This window comes from Homo sapiens, chromosome 14, assembly GCF_000001405.40.
Source record: "Homo sapiens chromosome 14, GRCh38.p14 Primary Assembly".
In the NCBI taxonomy this organism is placed as follows: domain Eukaryota; kingdom Metazoa; phylum Chordata; class Mammalia; order Primates; family Hominidae; genus Homo; species Homo sapiens.
The window spans coordinates 58,427,670-58,443,544 of NC_000014.9; the positions used below are offsets into that span (position 1 = coordinate 58,427,670).

The 15,875-nt window shown below is 38.5% G+C and overlaps 1 protein-coding gene across 34 annotated transcripts in view, besides 2 other annotated features; it reads left to right on the top strand.

The window, feature by feature from the left end:
- Positions 1–15,875, top strand: part of KIAA0586 — a 134,691-nt gene that overhangs the window by 270 nt on the left and 118,546 nt on the right. For 16 of the 34 annotated variants that reach the window (XM_047432009.1, XM_024449780.2, XM_024449791.2 and 13 more), the window contains exons 1-5: positions 50–794; positions 1,694–1,764; positions 2,979–3,048; positions 4,719–4,788; positions 15,037–15,211. In XM_047432009.1, coding sequence (XP_047287965.1) covers positions 596–794; positions 1,694–1,764; positions 2,979–3,048; positions 4,719–4,788; positions 15,037–15,211 — 585 coding nt within the window. In that variant the 5' untranslated portion in view covers positions 50–595. Of the gene's footprint in view, positions 1–49; positions 795–1,693; positions 1,765–2,978; positions 3,049–4,718; positions 4,789–11,800; positions 12,325–13,551; positions 13,675–15,036; positions 15,212–15,875 lie in introns of those variants that run through there. The other 18 variants (XM_024449779.2, XM_024449781.2, XM_047432000.1 and 15 more) reach the window with 9 other exon arrangements.
- Positions 12–61: an enhancer, noted in NCBI's record as "active region_8453". NCBI's record gives its function as "activates an Ori minimal core promoter by ATAC-STARR-seq in GM12878 lymphoblastoid cells {active_cell/tissue: GM12878}" and the evidence as "EXISTENCE:reporter gene assay evidence [ECO:0000049][PMID:35858748]".
- Positions 132–321: an enhancer, noted in NCBI's record as "active region_8454". NCBI's record gives its function as "activates an Ori minimal core promoter by ATAC-STARR-seq in GM12878 lymphoblastoid cells {active_cell/tissue: GM12878}" and the evidence as "EXISTENCE:reporter gene assay evidence [ECO:0000049][PMID:35858748]".

The following is a 15,875-nucleotide window of genomic DNA, read 5'->3' on the forward strand; positions in this document are numbered from 1 at the left end:
TCAAGGGCGGGTTTGAAGGGAAGTGGGTGTTGACCTGCGGGCAACTGACGCTGTTGTCAGATTACACCCACGACGGTGCGGGTCTCGGGCGTTCTGGAGATACGTAGGGGTGAATTTATGTTTCCGACGATTGCATCTGGAGGGGTGTGTAAGACTCTGTGGCTGAAGAAAGCTATTACGCTTCTTATGTGGGTCATTATTTTAAAAATAGCATTTCGCTTTTATTTGCTTGACTGCCTCTTCTCAACAAATTTTAAGCCCGCCACTACATGTGTTTGGTTTTGCCCTACCAGCTCTGGGGTTGGGGAGTGCACTGTTATGGTTATTGTTGCTCCTGTGGCCATTCTCTTGTCATCCCCACTTTCACATTTTGGCGTGGTGTATTAATAGACTGAGTGGGATTAATGGGTAAATATGACTTTATAGTCAGCTCTAATCCTGGATTCAATATCAGAATTTAGATTTTCAGCTTTGTGGATGTTCGACATTTTAAAAACAGTTATTGCAAAGAGGTGAAAATTTTGTTCTGAAGTCTTAAGGAAACAGAGAAAGTTTTTCCGTCCTTAAGTGTGGGACTTGTTTTGTGACCAACAATATGAAAGGCTCTGAGGTCAGCTTGGAGAAGAAAAAAAAGATTAAGATGCCAGTGAAGAGACTTCGTGAGGTAGTTTCTCAAAATCATGGAGATCATTTGGTTTTGCTGAAAGATGAGTTGCCCTGTGTTCCTCCGGCATTGTCTGCAAATAAACGTCTTCCTGTTGGAACGGGGACTAGTTTGAATGGAACATCACGTGGTATGTGATTCCATGTAGTTTTTCAACCAGTTTTAGTTTAGTAAATCTTTAGTCCTTATTTGTTTAAATTCCCAAACGTAAGATATAAGTCTAGTTTGTACAGATGTTTGAAAACTGACCCTGTTTCCCGGGAAAATGGCCAGGAAGCCTATAAAATGTTTGAATAGATGGAATGAATGAAACTTTAACGTCCCCTGTTGTGCTTTTTTTTTTTTTTTTTGCATTGACTTTTGCATATTTTTTTTTTTATATTTATGGTGGATACACTTAACTTGTATAATGTGCTTTATTTTCCCCCACGTAGTGTTTTTTATAGTTTTCCCCCAAAGTAGTGCTTTTTACCTAATTCACTACTTTCTTTTCATAGTGGGAAAAGCAGGACTTCTGCCAATTGATGGCTTCTATATTCCAATTCACTTAATCTGTCTAGAGCTCAGTGAAAATAAGGATAACATATGCTTTACCCACTTCGCTGCTAATTGTGAGGATTAAATTAATGAATATGTGAGCAAAAACAGCAAAACGCTTTTGTAATGCTGTTCTTTGGGGGATACAGCGGTGACACTCAAATAGTACTGCTGTTAAATTAGACCTTTACATCGTATACATATTTCTACCCATAGTTTGTCCACATCCAATAGTGTATGGTTATATTTTAAAATGTTTCGTGCTTAATCTCACTTTATTGTCAGTACCGAACCTTATTTTCCCAAATATCAACTGTAAAAACTTTCATTCAGATATGTTTAAATACATTTTCTTAACTTTTTTTGCATGCAAATTGTCTTTCCAACTTCTGCGTTATATGGAGTTTATAGATCTTGAATCATGCATATACAGTTTCTAAAGCTAAGGATCTGATTTTAAAATCACTAAAATCTATTCCTTTGTTTTGTTAGGTTCATCAGACTTAACTTCTGCTAGAAATTGTTACCAGCCTCTATTAGAAAATCCCATGGTGTCAGAAAGTGTAAGCAAAAGGATTCTTAATTATGCTCACGTTAAAATTTTCAGTATTGTCAAATAATGCATTCTTAAATTATGTTTGATTAGCAGCATGCCTTGTTTTTATTTAAATATCACTTACCAAAACAAATGTTTTATATACTACAATTGTGACTTTGAATGGTGTTTGAGACATTAAACAAAAGGCCTTCCCTAGAATCAAAAATACCTATTAGTAAGATAATGGCCGCTGAAAGAGATAGGATAACTGAAAAGAAACTCTCTTACTATTCAGGGAAAAGGTGTTCTTGCCCAGAGACTTAACATGTTCTTAGGTAAAAGAAAAGGAACAACTAACAGTACAATTTTTCTTTAATGTGAGGTGTGCTTGCATGTCATTCTAACACTTGTGAGAATGGTTTTGGTTTTCTTAGAAGGGAGGTTCTTTAAGAATAACATGAAATTATCATCTTAACTTTATAATGCCGAAAGTATTTGATAAATACAATGTTTTGGTTATGAGATCTAATCAGACTTTGACGGCTAATCATAGTGTTGACCTATGTATTGTCAGTTTAATAAGTCTGTATAATGAGAGTTTCACAATATGCTATTTTGAAAATTGAAGCTGGCAAACTAATAATTCAATTGAGACTATATGACAATTTTGTCAAAAGCTCACAATAAAATGTATAATTATTTGCTGTACTTGATCCCTAAGTAAATGCCTAGACTTTGGAGTGTTTTTTTGTTGTTTTGTCTTTTTTTTTTTTAAGCAGGCCTTATTTAATGATATCTAAACTTCTCAAATGTATGGATACACTGTTATTGTATAATTGAGAATAAATGGGTGATCTTCGTGATGTTGTGCCATCCTTATCTACTCCATTTGACTCACAGTGAGTCAGATTTTCACATTTCACTGAAGCAACTGAGATGTTAAATGACTTGCTCTGCTACAAGTGGCAAACTGGTTTGAGTCTGAATCTCAGTGCTACATTTGCTTGCTGGTTCATTTACTCATTCATTCACTTGTCTGATAGTGTATTACTCACCCATTCAACAAATCTTTGAGTAGCTTTAAGGTACATCAGAATTGCATGATGATGGAAATGAAGAATATGAAATACACAGTCCTGCCCTCCCAGAACACAGTAGTCACATAGCTAGTAAACGGTTCTTGATAAATAATAAATCATGAAGTTTATTTAGCCTATTTCTTCCTTTCATATCCCAAAGGATTTTTCTAAAGACGTTGCAGTGCAAGTGTTGCCTTTGGATAAAATAGAAGAGAACAACAAGCAAAAAGGTAAAAGAATAATATTGATTTTTTTAAATTGTGACAACATATACATAACATAAAGTTTACTACTTTAAAATGTACAGTTCTGTGACAGTAAGTACATTCACATTGTTGTACAATCATCATCACCTTTCATATCCAGAGCTTTGTCATCTCTCCCAACTCTACCCATTAAACACTAACTGCTCATTTTTCATCCCCTCAGCCCTGGGCATCCTACTTTTTGTCTCTATGAATTTGACTACCCTAGGTACGTTATATAAGTAGAATCATATAGTATTTGACCTTTTGTGACTGGCTTATTTCACTTAGCATAATGTTTTAAAGGTTCATCCATGTTGTAGTATGTGTCAGAATTTTCTTCTTAAGGGTAGAATTTATTTTTAAACATTTATTACGTAGTCTTATAGTTTTTATTATTTTCATTTTAAATTAGTTTTTCTTCCCAAATTAAGCTATCACTAGAAGCTATAAAATCCAGAATAAGGTTTGCAATGGTGAAGGTTATCTTGTTATTACCAACCTATTGCAGAGGTTTAGTATTAGATATGTTTATAAATTTTTTTTTTGAGACGGAGTCTCCCTCTGTTGTCCAGGCTGGGGTGCAGTGGCGTAATCTCAGCTCACTGCAACCTCCAGCTCCCGGGTTCAAGCAATTGTCCTGCCTCAGCCTCCTGAGTAGCTGGGATTACAGGTGCACACCACCACACCCAGCTAATTTTTCTATTTTTTTTTTGTAGAGACAGGGTTTCACCATCTTGACCAGACTGGTCTCAAACTCCTGACCTCAAGTGATCTGCCTACCTCAGCCTCCTAAAGTGTTGGGATTACAGGCGTGAGCCACCGTGTCTGGCTCCATATGAATTTTAAAATAGTTTTTTCTAATTCTGTGAAAAATGATGTTGGTAATTGAATAGGAATTGCATTGAATCTGTAGATGGCTTTGGGCAGTATGGTCATTTTAACGATATTGATTTTTCTAATTCATGAGCATGGAATGTTTTCCACTTATTTGTGTCATCTGTGATTTTTTTCATCAGTGTTTTATAGTTCTCCTTGTAGAGATCTTTCACCTTCTTGATTAAATGTATTCCTAGGAATTTTATTTTTTGTGTGCCGCTGTTGTAAATGGCATTGAGTTCTTGATTTCATTCTCAGCTTGAATGTTATTAGTGTATAGAAACGCTACTGATTTTTGTACGTTGATTTTGTATCCTGAAACTTTACTTAAGTCATTTATCAGATCTAGGGGCATTTTGTAGGAATCTTTAGGGTTTTCTAGGTATAGGACCATGTCATCAGTGAACAGAGGTAATTGGACTTCCTTTTACTTTTTGGATGCCTTTTCTTTCTTTCTCTGTCTGATTGCTCTGGCTGGGACTTCCACTACTGTATTGAAAAGAGTGGTAAGAGTGGGCATCCTTGTCTTGTTCTAGTTCTTAGGGGGAATGTGTTCAACTTTTGCCCGTTCAGTATGATGTTGGCTGTGGGTTTGGGATTATGAGGATTATATTATTACTTAATCACTTAATTTGTTCCTTGTCCTTTTCGATCGTGGAATGCTATGGCTGAGTTCCTAAACATTCTTTTAGTTAAAAAAGATTTTTTTAGTAGCTTATTAAAGTTTAATAAATATTCAGGAATTTAATATATATTTTTGTGTCTTGATTTTGCAGCAAATGACATCTTCATTTCTCAGTATACAATGGGACAGAAAGATGCTCTAAGAACAGTTTTAAAGCAAAAGTAAGTTTCATTTACAGAAAATAATTGGACCATTTCTTATGTAAATCAGCTTCATTTGTACTTTGGACATATGAAAAACCTTTTCACTATGTGAAATATATATTGTGTGATATGTATAAAGCATTTCTCATGGTGCTAGACACGTATAAAATACTCAGTAGCAGTTAGCAGTTATTATTATGGAAGTGCTATAGTATTAACTCATTTAACACACTTATAAAATAGATTTACTATCCCAATTTTATAGAATCCCCATTTTCTTTTATTTATTTATTTATTTAGAGATGGAGTCTCGCGTCGCCCAGGCTGGAGTGCAGTGGCACAATCTCGGCTCACTGCAACCTCTGCCTCCCAGGTTCAAGCAATCTCCTGCCTCAGTCTCCCAAGTAGCTGGGATTACAGGCACCTGCCATCATGCCCAGCTAATTTTTGTATATTTGTAGAGATGGGGTTTCACTATGTTGGCCAGGCTGGTCTTGAACTCCTGGCCTCAGGTGATCTACCTGCTTCGGCCCTGCAAAGTGCTGGGGTTACAGGCGTGAGCCAGTGCGCCCTGTGGTTAATTTAATTTTGCGTTAGAATCTAAGGAAGAGCCACACTTTACATTTGAATGATATGTCTCTTAAGTTTGTTTTTGTTTTTGTTTTTTTTAAGACAGGGTCTCGCTCTGTTGCCTAGGCTGGACTGCAACCTCCACCTCCTGGGTTCAAACAATTCTCCTGCCTCAGCCTCCTGAGTAGCTGGGATTACAGGCACACACTACCACGCCTGGCTATTATTTGTATTTTTAGTAGAGATGAGGTTTCACCATGTTGGTTAGGCTGGTCTCAAACTCCTGACCTCAGGTGATCCGCCCACCTTGGTCTCCCACAGTGCTGGGATTACAGGTGTGAGCCACCATGATCAGCCTTCAGTTTGTTTTAATCTACAGATTTACCCTTATTTCGTTTTTCTTATAATTTGTTTGTCTTAAGAAATTTTCTACCTTCTGGATTTTGCTGAATGTATCCTTTTGTTGTCTTTAACATGTTTCTTTCAACCTTGAATTTCTGTCAAGTGGCAAGAATGCTTGATAGGTGATATTATATACTTCCTGTGTAATACATCGGGATACATAGATATCTGATTTTATCTCTTATTGTGAAATTAGGATTGATCTGTTAATACACCACCTTTTTGTATCAAATTACAGCATATGGAAATTTGAGGACAAAGAGTCTAAACAGTCAATTTTAGAAATTTAGCAGGAAAATAATTTCTTATAAAAGCTGAAGGAAGCTGGGCATGGTGGCTCATGCCTGTAGTCCTAGCACTTTGGGAGTCCAAGACAGGAGGATCACTTGAGCCCAAGAGTTTGAGACCAGTCTGGGCAATATAGCTAATTTTTTTAAATTAGCCAGATATGGTGGTGTGTGCCTGTAGTCCCAGGTACTTGGGAGGCTGAGGTGGAAGGATCACTTGGGCCTAGGAGTTTGAGGATGCCATGAGCCATGTTCATGCCACTGCACTCCAGCCTGGGTGACAGAATGAGACCCCGTCTCATCAGAAAAATAGGGAGACAGACAGACAGACAGATGCTGAATGATAGGAAAAAAGCAGGGAAAGCAGAAGAAATCAAGTATACCAGATAAAAGAAAACATAAACACAGTAGAATGTTTTCAACTAGTTCTAGAAGTACGTCAGTGTAATAAGCAAATCTTGGACAAGTCTAAGTCAGAAAACTGGTGAGAGAATGCATGTTAGAAGTAAAAAGAGGACATAATGATAGACTTAGAAGGTATTAAGAATACAGTGTATTAAGAATACTGTGTACATGAATGCTACAAATTAAGAAATCTAGATGAAAGAAATAACTCACCAAAAATAACCATATAACTAAGAAGATTTTAATAGGCCAGTTACTGGGAAATAAATTTAAAAAAAACCTTCAAAGAGCAATCTCCAAAAGCAGTCATGATTTTGTTTGAGTTCTTGAAAAATTTTAAGAAACAGATTATGATCATGCTATATATTCTGCTCCAGAGCAATGAAAAGCAAAGAATGCCCCTCATGTCATTTTATGATGCTAACCTAGCCCAAGTATCAACACCTAACAATTAGTTTCATCAGAGATATTTTCATCATGCTATTGTAATTTAAACAAACCTAGTTCTTTAAATAAGTTATGAGTAAATTATATTTTATCATATGTTAAAAGATTAATACACAGTGATTGGAATGCAGCAATGTTTTAAAAATGGTAATAGCAAATTCTGATGTAACACTTATGCACCAGCCACTGTCCTCTGCACTTCTTTATTTTTGTTTTACTTTCTGTTTTTTATTTTGTTGAGACAGGATCTCGCTCTGTCACCCAGGCTGGAGTTCATGGGTAGGTTCACGGCTCACTGCAGCCTTGACCTCCCAGGCTCAAGTAATCCTACAACCTGAGGTCCCCCTAACCGCCCCCCCGCCAGAGTAGCTGGGACTACAGGCATGTGCCACCACATCCAGCTAACTTTTTTACTTTTTGTAGATATAGGGTCTCACTATATTGCCCAGGCTGGTCTCAAACTCCTGGGCACAAGAAGTCCTCCCGTCTCAGCCTTTGAAAGTGCTTGAATTACAGGCATGAGCCAACATACCTGGCTGCACTTCTTACATACTACTTGATCTTTACAAAAGCCTAGCACGTCTAATAATGTTTCAAGCTTAAGGAATAGAAGGGTTTAAGTCACCCAGGCAGTCTCTCTCCAGAGACAGTGCTCTTAACCATTGCGCCACTACAATAATTCATGATCTATTAATACATTTATATCATTTGATCAAATAAGAAAATATATGTGGCAAGCACTACAGTCACATTTAATGACATTTTATGCCCATATCTTCTTAATTTTTTTATTTTTTAAATTGACAAATAATTGTACCTATTTGTAGGGTACGTAGTGTTGTACTTATAATGTGTAGTGATCAGATCATGGTAATTAGCATATCCATCATCTGAAACATTTATCATTTCTTTGTGTTAGGAACCTTCAATATCCTCCTTTTAACCGTGTAACACATTATTGTTAACTATACTCATCCTACTATAGTCATTCCTCCTATCTAGCTGTAACGTATTCCTGACTTATTCCTCCTATGTAGCTGTAATTTTGTATCCTTTAACAAATCTCTCCCTATGCCCCCCTTCCATACCCATTTTATACTCAGTCACCACATACACACATAATACCCACAAACTTCTTTAAGAATAGAATGATACATTCCTTTTTTGTTTTTTTAAGATGGAGTTTCACTCTTGTCACCCAGGCTGGAATGCAACGGTGTGATCTTGGCTCACTGCAACCTCCGCCTCCCCAGTTCAAGTGATTCTCCTCCCTCAGCCTCCTGAGTAACTGGGATTACAGGCATGTGCCACCATGCCCGGCTGATTTTTTGTATTTTTAGTAGAGACGGGGTTTTGCCATGTTAGCCAGGCTGGTCTCAAACTCCTGACCTTAGGCGATCTGCCCACCTTGGCCTTCTAAAGTGCTGGGATTACAGGCTTGACCCATCGTGCCCAGCCAGAATGATACATTCTTAACATGAAGGACAATGTTTATTGGAAACCTGCAGTCAATACCCTGTTTAACAGTAAAATTGGGAACAAGACAAGATGTCCATTATTTTTTAAACTTAATTTGGAAGCCTTAGTTGTAGCAGTTAGATAAGAAAATGAAATCAGTTATGGATATTGAAAAAGAGGAGGCAAAGTTATAATTTGTAGAAAATATTGTGTATTCAGAATATCCAAGAGACCACTAACTCAGAAATTTTTACACTAATGGAAGTTCAGGAAGGTGACCAGATACTCAGCATATTATTCAATAATAAAATGAAATAACAATTACCATAGCAATGTCCCCACCGAAAAAAAAAAAGTTGGGAATACTCATAACCAGAAGTCTATAGAATCTGTCTGAAGAAGTATGAAATTTTGTCAAGGGAAATAACCAAAGGCTAAGATAAATTAAGAGACTCAACATGTTCTTGGATGGGAAGACTAAGCGCTGTAAAAATACAAGTTATTACAAAATTAGCATATGTTTGGCTGTGGTCAGTCTTAAAATTTTTTGTTATTTTGAGAATAAGTGGTAGATGTAAATTGGAAATGTAATTCTAACACTTACCTAGAAGAACATACTGTTGAGAAAAAAAAAGTATGTGCCTGTGTGTATACTGTATGTATATATTTATACTGTATATGTGTGTATATACATACACACAGAATTAAGGATACATCCATATAGAATACATTCAGTTTGGAATAGCTAAGATAAATTTGGAAAAGCAAAAACAAAAATGGGATGATGGAGAACTTGCCTTAATTGATATTATAATGTACTCTAAAGCCTTAGAGGAATGAAGAATCTGGCTAGAGTGTCTAGAACAACGGGAGAACTCCCTTGTGTGTGACTGGAGAGATAAGCAAGGGACTAGGTTATGAACTCCCCTAAAGGAATTTGGTCTTTAATATAAGATAAATGGCAAATCATTGAAAAGTTTTAAAGAATTAGATATATTTCTTAAAATACTCACTCTGGTAGCCATATGAAGAAATGGATTGGAAGAGGGCTAGACTATAGTCCAGCAAATGAATTGGCTCTGGAGTTTTCAGGGAGGAGTGAGTTAGATTGGTCCTGAATACACTGGGCAGTGGTGGTATGGTAATGGGAATCATGCTCAGTTGGAGAGGAAGAGACAAATTTGGAAGATGATTAGGAGATTGAATTGACAGGAATCATTAATTAGATATGAGGGTAAGGAAGGCACTAAGGTTGAATCCCAGATTTTTGGCTTTCACAAATACATGGTGAGTAGTATTACTCATTGAGAAAGGAAATCCTTGTGGGGGATAACTTATTCTGGGCATGGGCAAGGGTTTGAGGTTCCTGTGAGAAATGTGGGTAAGAAGTGTTCAGGAGAAAATGGAATATAAAGGTCAAGTTGCCAGACAGTGGCTCATGCCTATAATCTCAGCACTTTGGGAGGTCAAGCTGGGAGGATGGCTTGAACCTAGGAGTTTGAGATCAGCCTGGGCAACATAGCAAGACCCCATCTCTAAAAACAATAAATTAGCCAGGTGGGGTGGCATGTGCTTGTACTCCTCATTACTTGAGAGGCTGAGGCAGGAGGATCACTTGAGCCCAAGAGGTTGAGGCTGCAGTGAGCCATGGTTATGCTAATACACTCCAGCCTGGGTGACAGTGAGATCCTGTCTCAAAAAAAAAAAAAAAAAAAAAAAAAGGCCAAGTTCACAAAAGGGATCCAAGCTGGAAATTAAGATGCAGAAGTCATCATTATGTAAGTGGTAGTCTAAGTCTAAGCTCTGGGAATAGTTGAAGTGATTCAATGAGGTTATGATAGTGAAAGAGAGATGGCTAGGGCTGGATGCATTCTGAGAAAACCAAACATTTAAGGAGTATGTGGAGAAAGCAAGCTAGCTTCTAAATGCTGCTCAGAAAGTTTGGCCAGAGATGTAGGGGGTATGGTGTTAACAAAGCCAAGGGGAATTAGGTTCCAAGTGTGATATGCTGCTCCGAGGTAATGGAAGCTAAGTACTGAAAAATACACTGAATTGAGCAAGCAGGATTCTTAGTGGCTTTGGTGAGAATAGTTGCAGCATAGCATTGGGATGTTCAGTGGGTTTAAGAATAAAGAAAAACTGGCTAAAAAAGAAGACTAGAATGAAATAATTGCTTCTTAATGGGAGGGTTATGTGCATTTTTTTGACATTTATATGTCGTAGCTCTTTACATTTGCCACATTGAGCATTTATTAATGTAATAATTGGAAAAAATAAAATTTAAAAGCCTATAAAGAAATTTATGTCTAGCCTTATAATGTTTCTCTTATTGGGCAAAGGTAAGTCACTTTCAGACTTCAGGCAGAAACCTTAAAAATAAGGAATTCCTGAATTATATTTTCATACTCTACCCCTCAATTGGTTAAATATATATATTGAGCACTTACTACATACCTAACCCTTTGTTACTTGCTGTTTGGTATGAAAGAAGTCCTGCTACCATTCCCAACCCCAGGTTGCTTACAGCTTAATTGGGGAGATAATATGTATATATATGGAAGAATTAGTGATTAATTACATTCAATATATTATTAAATTGTCCCATACAGATATTTAAACCCTGGGATGGCTAAGTAGCAAGCCTCCGTTGATAGGTAGTAAATGCAAAAGGAGTTAATGAAGGGAGAGATCAAGAGGAAGTGCTAGAAGAACAGGCTTCTTGAAGAAGGTAGTACTTGCATTGCACCTTAAAGGAGGAGAAGGATGTAATAAGTTGGGTGGAAGAAGGGTGAGAGAGCAGAGTGAGGCAAAGTGTGGAGTCACTTGTGGGCATGGCATGGTATATGTAGTTAGTGAGGAGTGCCTCGTGTATGGAAAGCCAAACAGAGGAAATTAGCCAATTCAGTTGTTTATAAGGAATAATTTTAGATTTTTGAATGGTGACGTGTAGGAAGTTTCTAAGCAAGTAGAAACTGGAAGAATGGAATAGTTAGTAATAGGTGATGAAACCTTACGGTTGAGAGAGAGAAGTGAGAAGGGAAATGTGCCAAACTGAGAGAAAAAGCCCTGGTGTCATGGTAAGACCTCTGGGAATTGGGCCCTAACTCTACCACTTAATAAATAGTTCTATGACAGTGATCAAGTAAATCCTGTTACCTCTGTGGACTGCCATTGCTTTTTTTCTTTCTTTTTTTTTGAGACGGAGTCTCGCTCTATTGCCCACGCTGGAGTGCAGTGGCGTGATCTCGGTTCACTGCAAGCTCCAACTCCTGGGTTCACGCCATTCTCCTTCCTCAGCCTCCGTAGTAGCTGTGACTACAGGCGCCTGCCACCACGCCCGGCTACTTTTTTGTATTTTTTAGTAGAGATGGGGTTTCACCGTGTTAGCCAGGATGGTCTCGATCTCCTGACCTCGTGATCCGCCCGCCTCAGCCTCCCAAAGTGCTGGGATTACAGGCGTGAGCCACCGCGCCTGGCCAGACTGCCATTTCTTCATCTGTAAAATTAGGAAATTAGGATATCCTGTGACCTCTGTGGACTGCAATTTCTTCATCTATAAAATTAGGAAATTAGGATGGATGTCCTATAAGTTTCTCTCAGCTCTATAATTCTATGACACTCTTCATGCAATTGTGATGAAATAATTGACAACTCTTTATGATTCAATTGGGTATGAGACGGTAAGCAAGTAGAGAAGTCAAGATGACTTCAACATTTTGAGACTGAGAGAAAAATGTTATTCTTAGTAGAAATGGGGAAATATCAAAGAGGAGTAAGTTTAAGAGTTCTGTGATGCCCTTAAAAGTCGACGGGGAAGTCCAGCAGCTGGAGATGGAATGTATTCCTGCCAATTTTACTTAGACTCTCTTAGGGACTCTTCAGTTTTGTCAGTGGTTCCTTTCATTGTTTTCTTTGAGGCCAAATACCGAGCAAATTGGCTAGCCTTCTTTTTTCTTTCAGTATTTAATTAAATGCCTTATTGCAAGTATGTATCTATTTGCTGGACTTGTTTTCATTTCAGGGTCTTTTTTTAATTTTTAATTTTTTTTTTTTTTTTCTAGAGACAGGGTTTGCCATGTTGCCCAGCTGGTCTTGAACTCCTGGGCTCAAGCAGTCTTCCTGCCTCAGCCTCCCACAGTGCTAGGATTACAGGCATGTAGCACTACACCCACCTAATTCAGGCTTCTTAATAATGTATTTTGTGAACATTTTAATAAACTGAGTGACCTTCCTTTCTTTCTGTCTTGCTTTGCTCTGCTCTGCTTTTCTCTTTTCTTCTTTCTCTCTCTCTCTCTCTTCCTCCCTCCCTCCCTCTTTCCTGTCCTGTCCTGTCCTTTCTTTAGACTGAGTTTCGCTCTTGTCGCCCAGGCTGGAATGCAATGGTGTGATCTCTGCTCACTGCAACCTCCGTCTCCTGGGTTCAAGCGATTCTCCTGCCTCAGCCTCCTGAGTAGCTGGTATTACAGGCTCCCGCCATCACGCCTGGCTAATTTTTTGTATTTTTAGTAGAGACAGGGTTCACCATGTTGGTCAGGCTGGTCTCAAACTCCTGACCTCAGGTGATCCACCCGCCTTAGCCTCCCAAAGAGCTGGGATTACAGGCGTGAGCCACTGTGCCTGGCCTACCTGAGTGATATTTGTTAAGTAAATCTAAATGACCTAGAATTCAGAAAATTCTTTTCAGTGGTGTTATCAATCCCTCTTGGGGACATTATGCTAAGTGAAATAAGCCAGGCACAGAAAGATGAATATCATGTATTCTCATTTACATGTGGAATCTGAAAAAGTCAGACTTATAGAAGCAGAAAGTAGAATGGTGGTTGCCAGGGGCTGGGGGTGGGGAGAAAGTGGGGGATAGAGGTCAAAAGGTATAATTTCTCTTAGACAGGGTTAATACATTCTAGAGATCTATTGTACAGCATGTAACTATGGTTAATAATAATGAATTGTATACTTGAAAATTGCTAAGACAGTAGATCTTAAATGTTCTCATCACATAAAAAGATAATTATGTGAAGTGATGGGTATGCTAATAGCTTGACTATAATCGTTTTACAATGTATACATATATCAAAATATCACACTGTAAATATATACAATTTTTTTTCAATTATACCTCAGTAAAGTGGGATAAAAAATAGTCACAAAGTGTACATCAATAGTGCTGTAATTCTTACAATTCTTTTTTTTTTTTTTTTTTTTTCTGGGACAGTGTCTCACTTTGTCTCACAGGCTGGAGTGATCACAGTGGGGTGATCACAACTCACTGCAGTCTCTACCTCCTCAGGCTCATGAGATCCTCCCACCTCAGCCTCCCGAGTAGCTGGGACTACAGGTGTGTGCCACCACACCTGGCTAATTTTTGTATTTTTTGTAGAGTCAGGATTTTGCCATGTTGCCCAGGCTGGTCTCGAACTCCTGGCCTTAAGCTGTCTGCCCACCTTGGCCTCCCAAAGTGCTGGGATAACATGTGCTAGCCACTGCACCTGGCCGATAATGTTATAATTCTTATATAAATATTTGGAGGATGAAATTATCAATAATGGAAAAACCACAGCAGCTTGTCTGAAGGTAATAAGTTATCTCAATTGATTGTTCACAGTCAGTTACAGACCAAACTTTTTGTTTTATTTTATTTTTCTGGAGACAGAGTCTCGCTGTGTCACCCAGGCTAGAGTGCAGTGGTGCCATCTAGGCTCACTGCAACCTCCGCTGCCCAGATTCAAGTGATTCTCCTGCCTCAGCCTCGTGAGTAGCTGGGATTACAGGCATACACCACCATGCCCAGCGAATTTTTTGTATTTTAGTAGAGATGGGGTTTCACCATGTTGCCTAGGCTAGTCTCAAACTCCTGAGCTCCAGCGATCCACCTGCCTTGGCCTCCCAAAGTGCTAGCGTTATAGGCCTGAGCCACCACACCCGGCACAGACCAGACTTACTCCACTTTTTCTCCCCTTCTCACTACTGTACTTGACTAGTCTTTAAAAAAATAATAAAAGAAAAAAGAAAACAATAGTGTTTCTTGGGTTGTCTGCCTTTAGGAGTAAAGCTTGGTACTTTAATTCTTGGAGCTTTTTCTGAGTAGTTTTTTTTGTTTGTTTGTTTTGTTTGTTTGTTTTGAGACAGAGTCTCACTGTGTCACCCAGGCTGGAGTGCAGTGGCGCAATCCTGGCTCACTGCAACCTTCGCCTCCTGGGTTCTAGTAATTCTCCTGCCTCAGCCTCCTGAGTGGCTAGGACTACAGGCGCATGCCACCACGCCCGGCTAATTTTTGTATTTTTAGTAGAGACGGGGTTTCGCCACGTTAGCCAGGCTGGCCTCTAACTCCTGACCTGGTGATCCACCTGCCTTGGCCTCCCAAATTGGGATTACAGGCATAATCCCACCGTGCCACCTTGTGAGTGTTTTAAATTTGTACTTCTTGAAAATGTCTTTATAATTGTGCTATGCCTTTTTCATATGTTTAATTCTTATTTTCCAAAATAATATTGCTACCTTCAAGGAATTATCTTCTTATTTCTTTAGCCCTTAGTGACCTGGACCTTGATAAATTTTGTTAACCAAATGACCTTGTTTGATAGGTGATTTAATTAAAAAAAATCAAAACCACCTTCGGCAGATTACCATTTGTTAAGTATTTCTTGAAATGTTTCAATGTAGTTTACTGAATACATTTTTATTGCTTTTTTATTTATAGAGCTCAAAGCATGCCTGTTTTTAAGGAAGTAAAGGTACATCTGTTAGAAGATGCAGGCATAGAGAAGGATGCTGTTACTCAGGAGACTAGAATTTCACCCAGTGGAATTGATTCAGCTACAACCGTGGCTGCAGCAACTGCTGCTGCCATTGCAACCGCAGCTCCGTTGATAAAGGTATATTTTTCTTCCCAGATAATCATAACTACTTTGTGAAATATAGAAGTACTTACTAAGAACTGATTCTATAAATGGTTGTGTCCAGTTATAGACTAGGAACATTGTAGTTGCTCTCAATTTGAAAGAATTTTCCCATTTGTGGTTGTGTGTTACTTCTCAGGAAATGTGAAAATTACCCTCTAATACTGTGATGGCACTGGTGAATTTAGAACTTTCCCAGTTTTAGCACTGAGAGTCCTACATCCTGGGAAACACCTTGGTCCTGGCAACCTGGATAATCGGTTATTCTTATTTGAGAGCTAGAGGAACCTTAGAGATAATCTATGCCTTAGCTGTCGCTTTGTAAATAGGGAAGCAGAGAAACAGGTCAGAGTAGGCCTATGAGTCTAGAACGAGTAAGTGACAGAGCCAAAACTAGAACTCAAGGCTGCTGACCTAACTCAGCCTTATGTTAGTAAAATATCAAAAGCTACTTTGCTTTGCTGTTTTCTTCTTTTTAATTTCCATTTAAGTGTCTTGTTTTAGGCATCATAAAATTATTTGTGGCAGATTTGTTTGAGACGGAGTCTCACTCTGTTGCCCAGGCTGAAGTGCAGTGGTGCGATCTCAGCTCACTGCAACCTCCGCCTCCTGGGTTCACGTGATTCCTCTGCCTCAGCCT